Consider the following 19832-nt stretch of genomic DNA (forward strand, 5'->3'; position numbering starts at 1 on the left):
TGGGGGTTAGTAAAGCAGAAAAGACAACCAGTTCTGAACCCTGATGGTAAACAAGGGAAAGAACCCAAAACTCCGCAAGATTTTGATGGATAAAACAAGCCCTGGAAAGAACTACCTTAAAGAGCTGAAGAGTTCAAGATAAAGGGAGTATTCATAGGAAGGTATGGGCAAGGCTGAATCTATGACTCGGCTCATAGCCCTCCCCTAACAGAGTTCATCCACCCCAACCACCCCCAACGACCCCCACCCCCTAGTTTCATTTAGGCTAACATTGAAGGGTGCGAACACATCCTGGGCATCCCCAGCCAATGGGAAGGAAACACCTACTTAAGGTTAGAAATGGGCCGGGGAGAACTCACATGTGAGTAATGCAGGGTTGATTGTGGTCTCTGAGGCATCCCAGGCAATCCTCACCAATTTGAAAATACATCCTGTAAGCTTGTATTTAAGTTGCAATAGGAGCTGCAAAGTAGTGGTGTGTAAAATACGGTTCCTGACTACATGGAGATTATAATCTCATTAGGAAAACAGGTCATGTGAAATATCGAGAGGATGAAAAATAAAATGAAGGCAATTTGGCTCTGACTCATCCATACAAAGAAAGCAACTGGAATATCAGGGTGGAAAGATTGGCCCCCCTGCTGTCCTGGGAGTGGGCATTTCCAGCATCTACCACCCCTGGTATTTGTGTGTGATACAGAGAGTGGGCACACAACTCAGGCTTGGCCAGCCAAACACTCTCATCTGTTTCCGTATCGGGACCTACGGATGCAAAGGCTCAGGGACAGTCAGGCTCACTCACAGTGCCGACAGCAGGATTCTCAACCACTGTGATGTCCTGGTCTTACTGCCTTTGTCCAGAGATAATCCCTGTGCTTCCTGCTTCTGAGCCCCTGGGCTTGATTTGGCTCCTGTCTGTTTGCTGGTTCCCCAATATCCTGCTGATTCTCTGAGTCCTTGACTGTGGCTTCTTAAGCTGATTTCTGCTGCCTTGCAACCCGAAATACTGACTTTTGAGGTCATCTGCTTGTAGGAAACTCCTTGGTTTCTATTGTGTTATGAGCTTTTAAAAAATAAGAACTATGCTTACTATTTGCTTGACACTGACAGCTCCTCAGGAAGGGCATATTTAATTTTTAAAAATTTAAAGGCATCAGATGATGAATATCCTTTTTGTGTTTCTTTTTACCATGACCTGGCATATAGTAGATGTTAATTTTGGTATTAAAAATTAAATTCTACTTCTTCTGTTGGAATTGTTCAGTACCTAAGGCTAGTCACTTAACCTTCCTGAGCCTCAGTTTCCTCATTTGCAAACACAGAAAATAATTCCTCACTCGTTAGACTCTTGATGAAAACTGAGACATATTGAGAAATAATGGTCTTTTCAACAAATGGTGTTGAAAAAACTGGATATCCACATGCAAAAGAATAAAGCTGAACACTACCTACCTCACACCATCTACAAAAATTACCTCAAAATGGACCACAGATGTAAACATAAAAGCTAAAAGTATAAAACTTCCAGAAGAAACATAAGAGTATATCTTAATGACCTTGCACTAAGCGAAGAACTTTTATTTTTAGAAATAATAACAAAAACACAAGCAACAAAAGAAAAAGTTAGAGAAATTGGACTTAATTAAAATTTAAAATTTTGCCTGTCAAAGGATACCATCAAGAACATGAAAAGACAAGCTATAGAATGGGAGAATATATTTTCAAATCGCATATCTGAAAAGGGCTTAGTATTCAGAATATACTGGGATTCGGGGGAGAATGAAAGTGACTGCTAATGTGTACAAGGTTCCTTTCTGGAGTGATAAGAATGTTATAAAATTATACAGTGCTAATGTTTGCCAAACTCTGTGAAAATACTAAAAACCAGTGCATTATATCTTTTAAGTGGTATGTGACTGATACCTCAATAAACTTAATAAAAATTTAAATGAGAGTATATACATAATGGTGAACATACATAAAATATATGCATCTAACCATTGCATATATGTTTTAAAATGCATATTATATATGCATATTATACATATATAAGCCTTTTCGTGTGGTAAATGCTCAAAATATTTTAGATTTCTTTGTTTTATTGATAATGATTGATTGAGGCAGAAAGTATTGGAGATAGCACGACCAATGGAAGGAGGCTCAGGCTGGATTCCTCCTACCCAAAGCAATTGGACTAACACATGCTTTTGTAAGAATCCTCTCTATTTCTCACAGGAGCTGTAACTTGTGTCCACATGTGTCTCACCTGTATTCTCACCTGTCATCACTGTATTCCAAGGGCCCAAATGGTTCTTCCCTCCCTCGCCTTTTTCCCTTCAGTCAAAATGCACTTAAAATGCTGCTCATTCTCTTTCTTACCTGTTGGATTCTGACTTTCCTGTGGTCTCGCCACTCACTATTTTTTTTCCTATTGCTTATTTATGTAGACTGAATTTATCACAAAGTGTAATTATTGATATTCAAATTTTTTATGTAAAGCCAAGAGCATGTTTTCTTTATTTTGTGTGTGTGTGCATTTGCTTATCTGTTTTTCATGAAAACACAGCAAAAAGATTAGAATAACATACACCAATGTTACAAAACTATCTCGGGGTGATGGGATTGCATGCAATTTTTTAAAACCCTCTTTTATATACTTTGTGGTATTTTCAAAATTTTCAACAGAGAATCATGATTAAAAACACTTTATAAATAGGAAAGCATTACATACTGAAACATTATAAGTTTGCCCAAAGATGGATTATGAAGAGAACTATCTCCAAAGTCAGACTCCTCCAAAGACGTATTAGAACATTCGCTGGACGAAACATTGTGTGAGTCAGCTCGATGCACATGTTCCCTTTGCTGTGAGCCTCCCTGAGAAACTAGGATGGAATATGCCTCTGTCTATTTCAGCTCAAGGCAGCAGTCAAGTGTTTAATCTAGTTTGCGGATTTAACATGGAGATTTGCACCTTTGCTCATACGCCTTTTGAACTTTCCTTGGCACCTTCTGGTTGGATTCCTTCTAAGTGTAGAAAACCTGAATGATTTGTATCACCCAGTCGCCACGCATATATTTACAGGCTTGCAAAAAAAAAAAAAAATCCTAGTCTAGACAATAATTAAAGTCAGAAGTGTAGCTTAATTAAAAGATGTCTTTCCTGAGCCTCAGGGGACATTTCTAAACACTCATGACCAGCAGTGTTTACCCAGACTGTTCTCGGGGTGCACTTGGGGATATCCTCTTGGGCACAATCTCTTAGAGCAAGTGTGAGAAATGACGAGGATTGATGAGGGTGGTAGGTGTAGGTGGGTGCGAAGAAGATGAAAGAGAGATGTTTGCCTGAATGCATAAGGACAAATGACAAGGATCACTGTGGAGCATCATCAAGGAAGCAGAAATCAAATTTGATCAACTAGGAACCTGGAAAACTCTTAGACACAATATGCCCAGAAATCACAAAGCACCAACTCTAGAGGCTTTGTTTGCCATCAGATATATTTTGGTCAGCTTATGAAATGCTTTTTAAAAAATTAATACTAGCATTTAAAATGGAGAGATTTTGCCTAAAAATCAAAATTTTCAGCCTTCTTTTGAGTAACTGAAAAAAGTAAAACACAGAGTCAGTTTCTTTTCTGCAACAGTTGCTGGTGCTAAGCAACAGCTACATCCTTCAGATATTTAACAGGACACGCTCTCCAGTTCGCCCACACTCATGAATCCCTGCTATCGCTACCATAATGCGATCCAGTGGCAGTTCCATTATCATGCAGCTGATTTTGTTTTTCTCACTCCTAGCAGGCTTCCATTATTTATATCACCTGTATGGCCTTGGCAGCTATTTGAGTTTGAAGGTCTCCCAACCATCCCCCCATACCCAAGCCCTTTCCCCTGACCATGCTTTACCACAGTCTTGTTCATCTAGAATCCTCCTTGCTTTGTGTTCACTGGTGCCTTATTAGAAACGGATCAGGATTCAATCCTGGGCTACTTTATAAGCATTGTAATCTTCTGGGAGGATACAAAGACATAGAATAGATAAACATCTGGACATGGAGCCGGTAAACTAAGATTCAATTCCCACTTATAACTAGAACTAACTTATATTGTCAAAAAAAAAATGTGGGTTCAGATCCCAGATCCTTAATTTTCTAGTTTGAGATCTTGAGCAGTGTGCTTAACCTGTCTGAAGCTGTCTCCTTATCTGTGAATGTAAATATTTGTCCTGTCTGCCTCACGAGATTGTGGTAAAAACCAAAGAAGATATTCTAAGGAAGTGATTTGGACATTTCCTAAGACTAAATCAATTTAAGATAATTTTTGGCCAGATTATTAAATTACTTTGCATGGGTTGATGAAAAATCCACCTTACCAAGTTTTCCAAATGCTCTCTCTGAAAAAGCAAATAGTGTAATAATGTGGCTCTCAATATCTTTTTATCGTTTGCCCAACTCTGTGGGTTATCAAGTGTACAAAAGTGTTTTAAGTGTGTATATGGCCTTTCTCCCTAACTCTCTAGAAGACTCAATTAACTAAAAATCTGTCTTCCCAGTGTCTACAATGCCCACTGCTTCAGGTTTCCATATGGAAGAAATATATGGCTTATAACATATTTCTGGTTTGTACTGTAAATACATATATACATTTAACTTGAATTAGTAGATACAACTATGGCATTTTGATTTACAGCACCTAAGAGAGAGTATAAAGAATTTGATCACAATACCATTAGGTTGGTGCAAAAGTAATTGCGGTTTTGAAAGTAATTCAGTGAAAGTGGCAAAACCGCAATTACTTTTGCACCAACCTAATAATTCTGAAATTAAAAATATTTTCTGAATATTAAAATAATAGGTATTTATTAAAAATAATTTGGTTATGGCTATAGTTACTGCTGTAGGTACAGGCATACCATGGAGATATTGCAGGTTGGGCTCCTGACCACTGCAGTAAACCGAATTTTGCAATAAAGGGAGTCACACAGATTTGTTGGTTTCCCAGTGCATATAGAAAGTGATGTTCACACTATGCTACAGTCTTTTAAGTGTGCAGTAGCATTATGTCTAAGAAACAATGTGTATATCTTAAAGATATTTGTTGCTTAAAAAAAATGCCGGGGCCGGGCGCGGTGGCTCACGCCTGTAATCCCAGCACTTTGGGAGGCCGAGGCGGGTGGATCATGAGGTCAGGAGATCGAGACCATCCTGGCTAACAAGGCGAAACCCCGTCTCTACTAAAAATACAAAAAATTAGCTGGGCGCGGTGGCGGGCGCCTGTAGTCCCAGCTACTCGGGAGGCTGAGGCAGGAGAATGGCGTGAACCCGGGAAGCGGAGCTTGCAGTGAGCCGAGATTGCGCCACTGCAGTCCGCAGTCCGGCCTGGGCGGCAGAGCGAGACTCCGTCTCAAAAAAAAAAAAAAAAAAAATGCCGGTTATGAGCTGTCAGCACGTTGTAATCTTTTTGCTGGTGGAGCATCTTGCCTTTATGTGGATGCCTATGGATTAATCAGGGTGGCGCTTTCTGAAGGCTGGGACGGTGGTGCCAATTTGTTAAAATAAGAAAAAAATAAAGTTTGACATTGACTGACTTTTCATGGAAGTTTTCTCTGCAACATGCAATGCTGTTGGATAGTTGAAGTCAATCCTCTCAAACCCTGCTGCTACTTTATCAACTAAGTTTATGAATATTCTAATCCTTTGTTGTCATTTCAACAATGTTCACTGCATCTTCACCAGGAGTAGACACCATCTCCAGAAATCACTTTCTTGGCTCATCTGTAAGAAGCAACTCCTCACCTGTTAGAGTTTTAACATGAGATTGCAGCAATTCAGTCACATCTTCAGGCTCCACTTCTAATTCCAGTTCTCTTGCTCTTTCTACCATATCTGCAGTTATTTTCTCCTTGGAGTCTCAAACCCCTCAAAGTCATCCATGAAGGTGAAATCAACTTCTTCCAAACTCCTGTTAATGATGATATTTTGACCTCCTCCCACGAATCACAAAAGTTCTTATTGGCATCTAGAATGGTGAATTCTTTCCAGTAAGTTTTCAATTTACTTTGCCCAGATCCATCACAGGATCTGTAAGACTGTCAATGGCAGCTTTAGTCTTACAAATTGTATTTCTTAAATAATAAGACTAGAAAGTTTAAATTACTTCTTCATCCCTGGACTACTGAATGGATGTTGTGTTAACAGACATGAAAGCAACATTAATCTCCTTGTACAACTCCTTTGGAGCTCTTGGGTGACCAGGTGCACTGGTGATGAGCAGCAATATTTTGAAAGTAATCTTTTTTTTTTTCTGAACAGGAGGTCTTAATGGTGGGCTTAAAATATTTAGTAAGTCATGCTATAAACAGATACACTGTCATTCAGACTTCATTATTTTATTTCTAGAGCATAGGCAGGGTAGATTTAGCATAATTCGTAAGGACCCTAGAAGTTTTGGAATATTAAATGAGCATTGGCTTCATCTTAAAGTGACTAGCTGCATTACATCCTAACAAGAGAGTCAGCCTGTCCTTCGAAGCTTTGAAGCCAGGCTTTGACTTCTCCTCTACAGCTTGAAAGTCCTAGATGATATCTTCTTCCAATATAAGGCTATTTCACCTAGATTGAAAATCTGTTCTTTTTGTTTTGTTTTGTTTTTAAGACAGAGTCTCGCTCTGTTGCCAGGCTGGAGTGCAGTGGTGCAATCTCGGCTCACTGCAAACTCCACCTCCTGGGTTCAAGCAATTCTACTGCCTCAGCCTCCGTAATAGCTGGGATTACAGGCGCACACCACCACACCCAGCTAATTCTTGTATTTTTAGTAGAGATGAGGTTTCACCATGTTGGCCAGGATGGTCTCAATCTCCTGACCTTGTGATCCACCTGCCTTGGCCTCCCAAAGTGCTGAGATTACATATGTGAGCCACCGCACCCAGCCGAAAATCTGTTATTTTGTATTGCCACCTTCACCACCTATCTTAGCTAGATCTTCTAGATAACTTGCAACTTCTACATCAGTACTTTCTGCTTCACTTTGCACTTTTATGTTATAGGGATAGCTTCTTTCTTTAAACCTCATGAACCAACCTCTGCTAGCTTCAAACATTTCTTCCACAGTTTTTTCATCCTCACCTCTGTCAGTTTCATAGAGTTGAGGAGAATTAAAGTCTTGTTCTAGATTAGGCTTTGGCTTAAGGAAATGTTATGGCTGGTTTGGTCTATCTTCAAGACCACTAAAACTTTCTCCATAACAGCAATGGAGCCTGTTTCACTTTTTGGTGTTATTCATTGTCCACTGGAGTAACACTTTTAATTTTCTTCAAGAACATTTCCTTTGCATTCACAACGTGGCTAACTGGAGCAAGAGGCCTAGCTTTCAGGCTGTCTCAGCTTTCAACATGCCTTTTTCACTAAGCTTAATCATTTCTAGCTTTTAATGTTAAGTAAGAGATGCATAATTCTTCCTTTCACTTGAACACTTTACAGCCATTGTACTGTTATTAATTGGCCTAATTTCAATACTGTTGTGTCTCAGGGAAGTGGGAAATCCAAGGATAGGGAGAGAGATGGGAGAATGGCAGGTTGGTGGAACAGTCAGAACACACACATTTTAACTTCACCTCCTATATGGGCATAGTCTGTGATACCTCAAAACAATTGCAATAGTAAGATTAAAAATCACAGATCACAGATCACCAAAGCAGATATATAAATAGTAATAATTTAAAAGTCTGAAATATTGTGAGAATTACCAAGATGTGACACAGAAACACAAAATGATCACATGCTGTTGGGAAAATGGCGCTGACAGACTTGCTTAATGCAGGGTTGTCACAAGTCTTCAACTGGGAAAAAACCACAATATCCGCGACGTGCGATAAAGCAAAGCACAATAAAACAAAGTATCCCTGTGTTTATTGTGGGTAAAAACTGTTAACATTCATTTTCAAAATCACTATTTTTCAAAATCACTATGTTAAATGGTAGTGTAATGTATTTCATCTTATGAATATAGCATTTTTGTTTATTTGATTCACAGTTGTTAATGGTAAATGGTGATTTGGTGAATGCTAAAGCTATGTTTTACTTATTATATGAATATGAATGTTTATTAATTAAAAACAAATTCAGCAATACAAAAATGTAAGATGAAAGTAAAAATTATCTTCTCATTTTAATGGAAGTACTTTCTAGCTTTTGTTTGTATGCAGATACATATATGTAGAGAAATACATTTTTAAAATGAATTCCTAATTCACTTACTTTTAGCCTACATTTACCACTTACTATATCATAGTCATTATTTCAATCAACTAGATCTACATCCTTTTTTTTTTTTTTTTTTTTTTGTTGTTGAGACTGAGTCTTTCTCTTGTCACCCAGACTGGAGTGCAGTGGCGCGATCTCGGCTCACTGCAACCTCTGCCTCCCAGGTTCAAGAGATTCTCCTGCCTCAGCCTCTCGAGTATCTGGGATTACAGGCAGCCACCACCATGCCCGGCTAATTTTTGTACTTTTAGTAGGGACGGGGTTTCAACATGTTGGCCAGGCTGGTCTCAAACTCCTGACCTCAGGTGATCCACCCACCTCAGCCTCCCGAAGTGCTGGGATTACAGGTGTGAGCCACCGTGCCCGGCCTTACATGAGTTTTTAATGGCTGCACACTATTCTATTCACTATTACTTATTTAACAGTCACCTACTGATGGACTTCAGATTATTTTCAATTTTTCACTAGTTTTTTATGTTTTACCATTAAAATAATGTTGTAATGAATAATTTTATAATCACACATTATTTCCTTTGAATAGATTAAATTATAATAGATTAAAATATTCTAAATTATAATAGAATAGATGATAATGGAATCGATTTAAATACTCTAACATCAATTGGTAAAATGCTTTCCATAAAAGTCACACAAATTGGCACTCCACCATCAAATTATGAGACAGCCTGTCTCATAGCAACCCACCTCATATCTGGTCAGAGTATTACAGCAAGATGCAGAGAAAGATATAAAATAGTATAGCATATAAGTCTGAGAGGGAGGCAACTGTCAATCTTGTTGCAGGATCTGTAAAAACCAGGGCTAAAGAGGAAGGACTTGAACTATTTGGTAGAACTGAAATGGAGAGGCATGCAATCTTAATTTCCTTCAAAATTTGGCCAAAACCTAGCTTCTTCATAGTTTCTTGAAAATATGTGATTGCTGCTAATTTAAGATTGAAAGCCTGATTAACATTCAGTCTCTTACCTTCCCATATTCTACCAACTTAGCCCAATTACCTATTGTGCTAATACCTGCTTCTCTTTGAAATGCAAAATCACAGTGAGACTAATGAAATGAGAACATGTTCCAAATATTGGATCATTTCCTGGTGATGATGTGACAATAGTGAACTCTGAAACTAGGGCTGATAACATCATCCTGAGTCATGGAAACTCTAAACATCAACCAGCCTCTCTCTTTCCTCTCATCCTTTATCCTCTTTCCACTCCATCTCTGCTGATTCAGCTTACAGGATGTCTGCTGTATCTGTCATACTCCCTCCACACCAACAAATTGGTTTGGGTCCTCCTCAGTCTCTGGTAGGATCATTGCCATAGTTTACTAACTGCATCCCCAGGTTGTTTTCCACTCAGACCTCGACAGGGCTGATTCCCTATCCTAACTAAAGCCCTTGCTGACTTTCTACTACAAACAGGACAAAGGTGATCCAAAGGTATGTTGGTCAAAGCAGAAGAGTAGAACTTACTTAAAATTTCATTTTCTTGATTTACAATTGTAAAATATTTGATATATGGCATATTGACATCTATTTACACCCTTGCCTTATGCCCCCAAATTGGTAAGGTTGACTGAACTCTAATATGTCCAATTAACTAGTTTCCTTCAATAGCATTTTTAATCATGTTTATTGAGATATAATTTATATGTAATAAAATTTTCCTTTTCAAAGAGCACAATTCAGTAGGCTTTAATATATTCACAGAGTTGTACTATCAGCACCACTATCTAATTCCAGAACATTTTGTCAACCCCAAAAAGAAAGCCCATACCCATTACCAGTTACTTCCCAGTATCCCTTTTCCCAGCCTCTAGAAACAATTGTCTACTTTATTTTTCTATGGATTTGCCTATTCTGAACATTTCACATGGAATTATACAATATGTGACCTCTTACATTTGGCTTTTTAAACTTAACATAATGTTTCCAAGGTTCATTCATGTGGTATATAAATCAGGGCTTCATTCCTTTATATGGCTAGATAATATTCTATTGTATGGATATACCACATTTCCTTTATCCATTTATCAAATGATTATCATTTGGGTTCTTTCCACTTCTGGGAAAGTATGCATAATGTTGCTATGAACATCCATGTACAAGTTTCATGTGGACATATATTTATTATTCTCTTGGAACTATATGTAGGAGTGGACCTGATGCATCATATGGAAACACTACGCTTAGCATTTTGAGGAACTGCCAAACTGTTTTAAAAGTGGCTACACAATTTACACAATTTTACATTCCCGCCAGCAATATATGAAGGTTCTAATTTCTTCATATCCTTGCTGATATTTCTTATTGTCCATCTTTTTTATCACAGCAATATTAGCGGGTGCAAAGTGGTATCTAATTTGGTTTTTGCTTGTGTTTCCCTAATAACTAATAATGTTGAGCATATTTTATGTATACTAGCCATTCGCATATCTTCTTTTGAGAAATGAATATTTGAACTGTTTGCTTGTTTTTTTTAACTGGTTTACTTGTCTTTTTATAGTTGAGTTATAAGCTTTCTCTAAATATTCTAGTTAAATAATATTCTTTTGTATTTTTATCCTACTTGGAGTTTATTGAGCTTCTTGGATATGTAGATGTATATCTTTCATCAAATGTGGCATGTTTTCAGCTGTTATTTCTTCAAATATTCTTTCTGCTCCTTCCTATCTTTCCTTTTTCTCAAACTCTCATAATGCGTATACTGGTATCCTCTTTCTCAAACTCTCATAGTGTGTATGTTGATATGAATGTCCCAGGGAAAAGCATCTTTGTACTTAAATTCTGAGTCAGATAAAATAAAGACAAGACCTGAGAGTGGGAGTTTGCAGGGAGCTAGCAGAAAGGTCAAATTATGACAATTTGGGGAGAATAAAGTTTTGTCCCTTCCAGTAGTTGCTAGGCTGGTTGAAATTCTATTTAACATTATAATCATTAAACAGTGATATTTGGTAATAGTAGTGACCTAGTAGTGACTAGGCTACTGGTTTGCACAACTACTATAATCACATATTCGTTTTCAAGCTGGGAAGAGGGGAATGAAAATAAGGCAAGTTAAATGCCACACAGCTCACTGTTCTTGCTGAGATTCAGCTAATCTTTCCCCGGAATAAATGCTCCTCAGATTGTTGCAAGCCTTTCTTTAATTTCCTGAGTTCTAGAAACATTGATTTTGGCCATTTTTGTCAGTGCTTTCTTGCTTTTTTGGAGAAGTAGATTTTCAGAGGTCTTTACTCCACCATTTCAGTAGTACTTCTTTTCCCCCCTATCATTCTTAGACACTAGAAATGGGGTTTAAGTGGTTTATTTTATCATGTATATTGTTGTCAGGTAAAATTTCTTGGGTGCTCCACCACTTGCCAGGTCCTCTTTCTTCAAAGGTATCTTTTTGAGTCCTCTAAAACTTAAAATATAAAATTAATTCTCAACTTATTTTTTATTATCAAAAAGTCACTACTATTACCAAATATCACTGTTCAATGACTATAATGTTACATAGAATTTCAACCTGACAGAATCCAAAGACTTGAAAATTTTAACCAAACATATGGCATGGGTGGAGCGTTGTCCAATTACGAGAGAAATATTCTATTATCTAAGATTTTTGTCCTAACAGCAAAAATTACTACCTTGTGTATACCTTCTTTATACTCTTCATCCCTGCAGAATTAGTTTTCTCCTACTTCTTCAAAACACTTATCTATAGACCCACAGATTTAGTGCTGATATTCAGCAACCTTCAGCAATGATCCAGAGATCTGTATGGATATCTCAGTCCAGATGAACAGACTGCACACAAAGTAGATTAATGCAATAGATTAACCAGCCACTAGGATGAAAACAAAACAGAAGATTCCTCAGTGAATGTACAATAACCAGAAAGGTAAATTGTATGTGGGATTATAATTGGAGGTTAAGAGCTAAAACATGGATTTTAGAAAGTCATGGTATCAAATATGGCTCTACCCCTTACCAGCTCTGTGACTTGGGGAAGCCACTTTACTAGGTAAAGCCTCTATTTCCTCTCTGCAAATAGAGGTAATGCCTGCTGCATTAGGATTTTGTGCAGAATAAATGGGATAATGCATGTGTAGCATACAGTGTAGTGCAGGGCTTATAATAAGCCCTCAGTAAATCATAGTGTTAGCTAGTAACCTGAATACTCCCATCCCTGAGCACACTGATTAACTTCAGCTGTATGAATATATTTCAGTTTTGAAAAAGAAGGTATGTTTCAAAGGTGAGATTATTGCCTATAAGTAGTCTCCATTTCCCACCTCAGAGATCTTTCTCAGGATAACTCATATACATGAATCTCCCTTGTGTGTACTACATGCTACCTTATTATAAACCACAGACTTCGAGAAAACATATATTCCATTCATGCATGCATAAATATAGCATCAACATTTATTGTGCATCTTGTGGCAGGCACTAATCTCAGCACTGGTGTAGGGTGATGAACAAGGTCCCTACCCTCATGGGGATAACCTTCCAGTAGATGATGCAGGCAGATTATAGGGACTCCATTTCATCATTAGAGACTCAAAAACCTAAGATTTTAAGCCAAATATTTCACTAACTCCCTCATAGCTTGAGCTCTGTTGCTATTCATATTTCATCCAGGAGGCCCCCTATAGTGGGATTTGAAAGTCAGAGTGAAAATCAGGAGTTAGGTGCTCAGTTTCTGCTGTTCCTGCCAGAGGTGTCAGGTTATCTGCAACATCTGTAGCAAAGGCCCTAATATCCTATCTCTAGCTTCACTTGTTTCAAGAAACAAAGATGAGGCCAGGCGCAGTGGCTCACGCCTGTAATCCCAGCACTTTGGGAGGCTGAGGAGGGTGGATCACGAGGTCAGGAGATCGACACCGTCCTGGCCAACATGGTGAAACCCCATCTCTACTAAAAATACAAAAAATTAGCTGGGCGTGGTGGCAGGTGCCTGTAGTCCCAGCTACTCGGGAGGCTGAGGCAGGGGAATGGCGAGAACCCAGGAGGCGGAGTTTGCAGCGAGCCAAGATCGTGCCATTGCACTCCAGCCTGGGCAACATAGCAAGACTCCGTCTCAAAAAAAAAAAAAAAAAAAAAAAAAGAAAGAAACAAAGATGCTTGTTTTGGTGGAGGAGATGAGAGCAGAGGCAATGTGATCCTGGAGGTAGTGGTGGTGGCATTAGTGCAACAGTGTGAATATCTGTCCCCTCCAAAACTCATATCGAAATAAACTCTTCAAAGTGGCTGTATTAAAAGGTGGAGCCTTTAAGAGGTGATTGAGTGATGAAGGTTCTGCCCTCATAAATGGATCAATTAATTCATGGATTAGTGGGTTAATTGGTTAATGGATTAATGGGTTATCATGAAAGTAGGACTGGTGGTTTTATAAGAAGAGGAGGAGAGACTTGAGCTCGCATGTTCAGGCCCCTCACTGTGTGATGCTCCACACCACCTCAGGACTCTGCAGAGTCTCCCCAGCAAAAGGCTGTCATCAGAGGCAGCCCCTCAACCTTGGACTTCCCAGACTCCATAACTATAAGGAATTTATAAATAAATCTATTTTATTTATAAATTACCCAGTTTCAGGTATTCTGGTATACACAACAACAACAACAACAACAACAAAATGGACTGAGACTATCAGCTTCCTGATATCCAGCTTTGTGATAGTGACAGAGACATAATTGTAAACATGCTGCCATGCCCTGTGCATTACTCTCAGAAGTTCTGCCTGCTCCCCCATTCCTTCTACAAGATTTTATATGCCTGCTCAAACCAGTACAAAATTCCTTTCTGCTTAAACTAGCTGAAACAGATGGTGCTGTTACTGAATCCTGACCAAAACAGAGAAACAAATAAGAAGGAGATAAACAAATAAATAAACACGATAGGTATTGATTGCAATAAATGCTATGAAGAAAGAGTGATGAAAGATGAGGAAAGATTTTTCAGATGGACTTCTTTCAAAAAGCTCCTTTGACAAGATGAATTTAAACAGAGACCTAAAGGAAAGGAGGAGCTAAGAGAAGAGTCAGGGAAAAAGACTTCTAGGTAAAGCAAACATCAGCAGCAAAGGCCCAAAGATGGGGAAGGGTTTGTTGATTTGACTCATAAGAGAGGAGAGCATCTTTGGAAATTTGGGACAAATGGCACACGATGAGGCTAGAAAACTATGCAAGGACCAGAACTTCTCAAAGTGTGGTCCAGGAACTGGTGCCAGTCTGTAAACTATTTGTTGCTGATCTGTGATAAGCACAAAAATTAAGAATAAATATTTAGAAGTTTTATAGCAATATGACATCACCATAACATTCATGCAACATTTCTATTATATTTAAAGAAACTATCAGTGCATAACGGATTAGAAATTTAAAACACAAAACAGGTTCTTCACCACAGATAGTTTGAGAAGCATTGTTCTATATGTTTAGCCTCTCAAACTTTTCCTTTAAAGAACCCAATAGTAAATGTTTTAGGCTTTTCAGGGCCATAGAGTCTCTGTTGCAACTACTCAGCCCTGCCATGGTAACACAAAAGCAGCCATAGATAATATATGAACAAATGGGTGTGGCTCTGTTTCCATAAAACTTTATTTACAAAAAAACACATGGTGGCAGATTTGGGCCTGTGATCTGTAGTTTGTCAACCCCTGTTCTAGGCCACAGGAAGGAGATTGGACTTGACTTTAAAGCCAACAAAACCACCTGATTAACTGAGGCCATCCTTTACTCTTGATCACCCCTCATTACTGCCTACACATATTCATAAAGTCTTTGTGTGACTGACTCAAAATCAGAAAGGACCTTGGAACTCCTCTCAGCTCTAATTCCATGTTCCTCTCATAGCAATCTTGTAAGTGAAGTTCCTGCTTACAGGACTTGTGTCCAAAGGCAGACTCCATTTTGTCTCTTACCTGCATCCCCCAAAATGATGATGACACCATATACTCTGTGTTAACCTGATGAGCCACTCAGAGCCCCACATGAGGTCACAGCCTTATGTTCTCCAGGACCTGGCCAATCAATCACAGGTTCATATAGTCCTCTGAGTCATTAAGTCACCTCCACTGCCCCATTTTCAGAGGTGTGCCATCCCACTTTTCTTTTTCTGCAAGGCTGTGCTTTTGTCCAAGTGAACCTCCGTGGCCATGGTACACCTCTGATGCTGTTATGTCTGAAATAGTTGCATTGGACAGGCAGCACACCACATATATAACCTTGTTTTTCTCTGGGCTCAAAACACAGCCACAGGCAGGAAAGCTTTCTGCGTTCACACATGTCTCTGTTGCATGGCACCCATTTCATAAACACAGCCCACCAAGCACACAGCAGAAAGCCTATTCCCTCCCACTCTGGAGCGTATACTACTGTGTGTGTGAGGAGGTGGACTCTTCCCAGCAGGTCTCTCACACAGAGGGTACAGAGCTGAGGCAGCTCTTTCTGAAATCTCTTTTATTTAAGGTTTCTTTCATTGACTCAGGACAAACTTAATGGGTAAAACTTTGCTGTTGCAAGTTTCCTTAAAATATCCCCTTCTGGGCCTACCACCGTTTATCTTGGCAGCAGGTAGCTTGGAGAATTTTGGAAAGTCTCAGCTTGGCATAGCCTCAGAGCTACTGGCACATTAAAGATTAATAAAGCACATTTAACTGAGCTCAGGACGCTGCAATGTGATCCTTCACCGTGAAATGTGCAAGATTCTTTGTTTGCAATGAACAAAATTGGAGCCAGAAAGGGCCTACCGTGACAAGCTAAGATAGGGAACAATCAGGAACTTTGTATGTCTTTCATTGATCAATTGATGGTTAGGAATCAATGCCCCTGCTCAGCCATACTCCAACTTAGCATTCTTAGGAATTTAAGATAGGTGTCTGAGTATGATCCAAGAGCTGGGTATTTACTGAACTTGCAGCACCACAGAAATCATGCAACTGCACCTGCCTCCTTAAAATATTAGAAAAGGATGATTCAGAGCGAATTCCCAAGTTAGCAGCTTCTCCAGTGAATATCAGAATAAAGCAAGGCATTTCCAAATATTTTGACTTTGCTTTAGTAAACCAGAATGCTTGGGTCTGGCTGAATATTAACCCAGGAAGAGGGAAAAAAGAAAAAAAAAAACACGATTGACATGCATAGTGTGCGGCTGGCTGCGGAATGAATCAGACAACATGAAAATTAAAATAAAAATTAATCAGGCATGTACATCATAACTGTTGGTTCCAAGGAGGAATTAATCTCCAGGCACCTGGATACACAGCAGCAAGTACTAGGCTAGGTCAGCAAAGGCAAACATTTAAAAATGTACCATCCTGAATTCTGGAAAGGCACTCGCAGACACCACGTGCCATGTAATGCCCTGTGTCTATTTACATAGTGAGTGTGATCCCTTCATGTCCTCCAGAAAAATCACAGGCAAACTCTGCACGCTGCAAATCAGAGCTCCAGACCAGAGCACTTAACACATTGGGTGCTTTCCTCTATACCAACATCAACATTCAAGGAACAAAAAAAAAAGAAGAGAAAATTCTGTCCTTACCGAGAAGGCATACCAGACAGGGATGCTGAATGTTTCACTTTAGCCCACTCATTGCTTTCTCTTTCATTCGATCAATGTTCTAATGCTATTGAGGAGAGTTCCTGGGGTTTTCGGATCTTCCTTCAAGAGTTTTAATCACTGGTTTCCCCAGGCCGGGTTTAACAAACACCGCTGTGTTCTGTCAACATTTGTATGCGGCACCACATTGGGCAACCAGCCAACACACAGAGTTTCAAGAGGCAAGGAGAGAAAACTGACACCCTGACAAACATGCTTCCCTCTTTTGTGTCCTGTAAGGTGGTGCTCAAAGTGTCATCTTTGATTCTGACGGGGGCTAAAGATAGCCTCTTTTTATGACTTTCTCTACTGCCCCCGAACGAATGCCTTGCTGGGCTGCTGGATCTGGGTTCCGCAAAGTTTGTTTTTTGTCTCACTGCCCTGAAGTTCGCCGCACAATCGCGTGGTTTGCCTCTCCACCAGCTGCACTTTAAATGTATTTTAATTGGCTGGAATGTCGAAAGAATCCATTTGGCAGTCGTTTACATGTGAAGCACGCCCAGGGCAGCTGAAAGAGGCCCCAGAAGCAGCCGATTACTTCATCAAAAGCTGCAGTTTGAATACCATTGACTCCTACATAACTACAGTGAACTCAATTCTATAGGCAAGAAGGAGTAATTAATAATTTGCTGAGAAAATTCTTCATTCATCTAAATGTCAAAAAAGCAAAGGAAAAAAAATCCCTGCAGACACAACAGTTCTTCTGAAAGGCTTGATTTATAGCCGCCAGTTCTACTCTTCACAAACATTGACTTTGTATAGCATTACAGGAGGGGTGTAATGCATAATTCGGTCTGCCTGAAAAGTTAATGTAAGTAATTTTCCTTTTGAATGATCCCCTGAGATACATCGTTCTATTACCTCTTTTTACATTAGCCATATGCTACAATAAATATTGTCAATACTTCTGGCATTTCCTCATTCTCTTTATTTTTCTTGGTTGGTTGCAATAATTAGTTTGTGGCCTCTGCTAGATCCAGCCACAAATAAATTCACCCGGAGTCAAAGTGGATAATCATCACCAAACAGAACTTGCAAGCCACACTGAAGTTTAAAACACTCTGAACAATAACAACAAAAAAAGTCCATTTAAACAGATTCTAACATCAAGCTGGTGGGGAGGGGAGCATACACATGCACGGATACGCATGTATGTCTCAAAAAATCAAATAATGATAAAAGAAGTCATAAGATATATAAAATAACAAATAAATGGAATTGTTTTCAAATGCTTCTTTACCATTGTTTTACTGAGAAGACTTTTCAAGAGCATAAATAAAGTAGGTTTACAGATTTAGAATCCCTGGGCATCTCAGGTAAGCCTGAGCTCACTCCTCATTAAGAACCTCTGGTTTAGACTCAGTATATCTAGTAGGATCTCAGCACCCCAAGGATGCGTCTCTCTGGAAAATGTGAGCCAATGAACATTGTCAGATTTGTTCTGATGCCTTTTCCTCACGTCAATAAAATTGTGGTTCATAACAAGATGGCACAAGAGAAAGAATGATGTATGCAAGTTGCTTGGGTGGATTTGTTGAACCACTCAGAGTCTAAAACCAGTACCCTGAGTGAACAGGCATCTTTAGCAGGAAAGCAGAGGAGCAGAAGACTGCGGGAAAAGATCAGGGTCAGCCCCATGTGTGTGCAACCTGCAGAGTCACCCACAGTCCTGTGCTTAAAAGGGACCTGTACTTGGATTAATGCTGTACTGGCACCATCTTCAAATTCTTAACTTCTGAACAAGGGGCCCCATGATTTCATTTTGCATCAGGCCTAACAAGTTACATAGCTGGTCCTGAGAGAGATAGTATATATCTAATCTGATGCAACACATGGCTGGAATTGAAAAGCACTGGGAGGAGCATACTAAGGGTGTGGGTGACAAATGCTTTCCCTACTTTTGTCTTGTGCAATGTCCTCCCTTAGATTTTGGAACCACTGAGATGGTTGAGAAGGATGATTTAGGAAGGGGGATCTCTCCAGCCAACACCAGAGGTGGGAGTGATCTGGTAGGTGGTAACTGCTGTGTCCCAAGCTAATGGCTCACTGTTTCTTGTGTGGCTATACTTCATCTGACTGGTTCAGGAAGATTTTTTGTTTCCCATACAGTCAGTTCCCCTCTGCCATTCTATGAGCAGAAAATTCCATGAATATAACCATCTTCTATTTTAAAATTATCCTAGAACCATGATTCAGGGTTTGCTGAAGTTAAATTTAGCCCCGAATTTCAAAGGCACTGCTGACTCACTGCTGTGAGGTCTGATAATTCTGAAATTACTACAATACTATAGAATGATTAGGCATGGGTCACCTTCTGCTTCTAAAGGTGTTCTCAAAGACCTGCACTTGCACCCAGACTTGATCTGCTCCAGCCTTTGCAGAAACCATACAGAGAATTTTCCCTCTCAGAAGAGAAGTTGGTCTCAGATGTCAAGAACTTCATGTTACTGGTATCTTGTATCTGTTAGCAGGACTGCTAATGTGCTCTGACACTGGTACTTAATAAGTAAAACAGATTAGCATTCTAGAAATAGAAGAGAATTTAGAGACTGGCTGATCCAAACTATTCTTATTTTTAAAAAGGGTAACTGAGGCAAGAAGTGATGCATGACTTCTCAGAAAGTTAATAAAACAATATGTCCAGGTTGCATACTTGCTTTTGTCACACATGTTCCTACTTTCAACTGCCCAAGTGATTCCCCATTCTGACTTGCCTAGTGACTCTGAGGTATTTTCCTGGCTCCAGTCTACTTTTATACTTCCAGAGGTATTTCAAGTGCCCAAGTTCTAATTCCTTGTCTTACCCTTATAAGCCACTTTCACACACAGTACTGAGCATGCTGCACCAAGAGGAAATCTATTGTTACACAGGACACATGGCTTAGCCATCATTGATCAAGGACACCTAAGAATTCTTAGATCCCAGGACAAAAACTCCTCTCTGCCACTTACAGACCTTTAGTATG

General features: G+C 39.3%; 1 protein-coding gene across 2 annotated transcripts in view; it reads right to left on the reverse strand.

Annotated features, from left to right (window-relative positions):
• Positions 1–16972, reverse strand: part of NCKAP5 (NCK associated protein 5) — a 1003049-nt gene extending 986077 nt beyond the window's left edge. For both annotated transcript variants that reach the window (XM_017003975.3, XM_011511100.4), the window contains exon 1: positions 16810–16972. The gene's annotated coding sequence lies outside the window, so the exon portion shown is untranslated. The remainder of the gene's footprint in view (positions 1–16809) is intronic.
• Between the last annotated feature and the right edge of the window lie 2860 nt (positions 16973–19832).

This window comes from Homo sapiens, chromosome 2 (assembly GCF_000001405.40).
Source record: "Homo sapiens chromosome 2, GRCh38.p14 Primary Assembly".
Taxonomy (NCBI): Eukaryota; Metazoa; Chordata; class Mammalia; order Primates; family Hominidae; genus Homo; species Homo sapiens.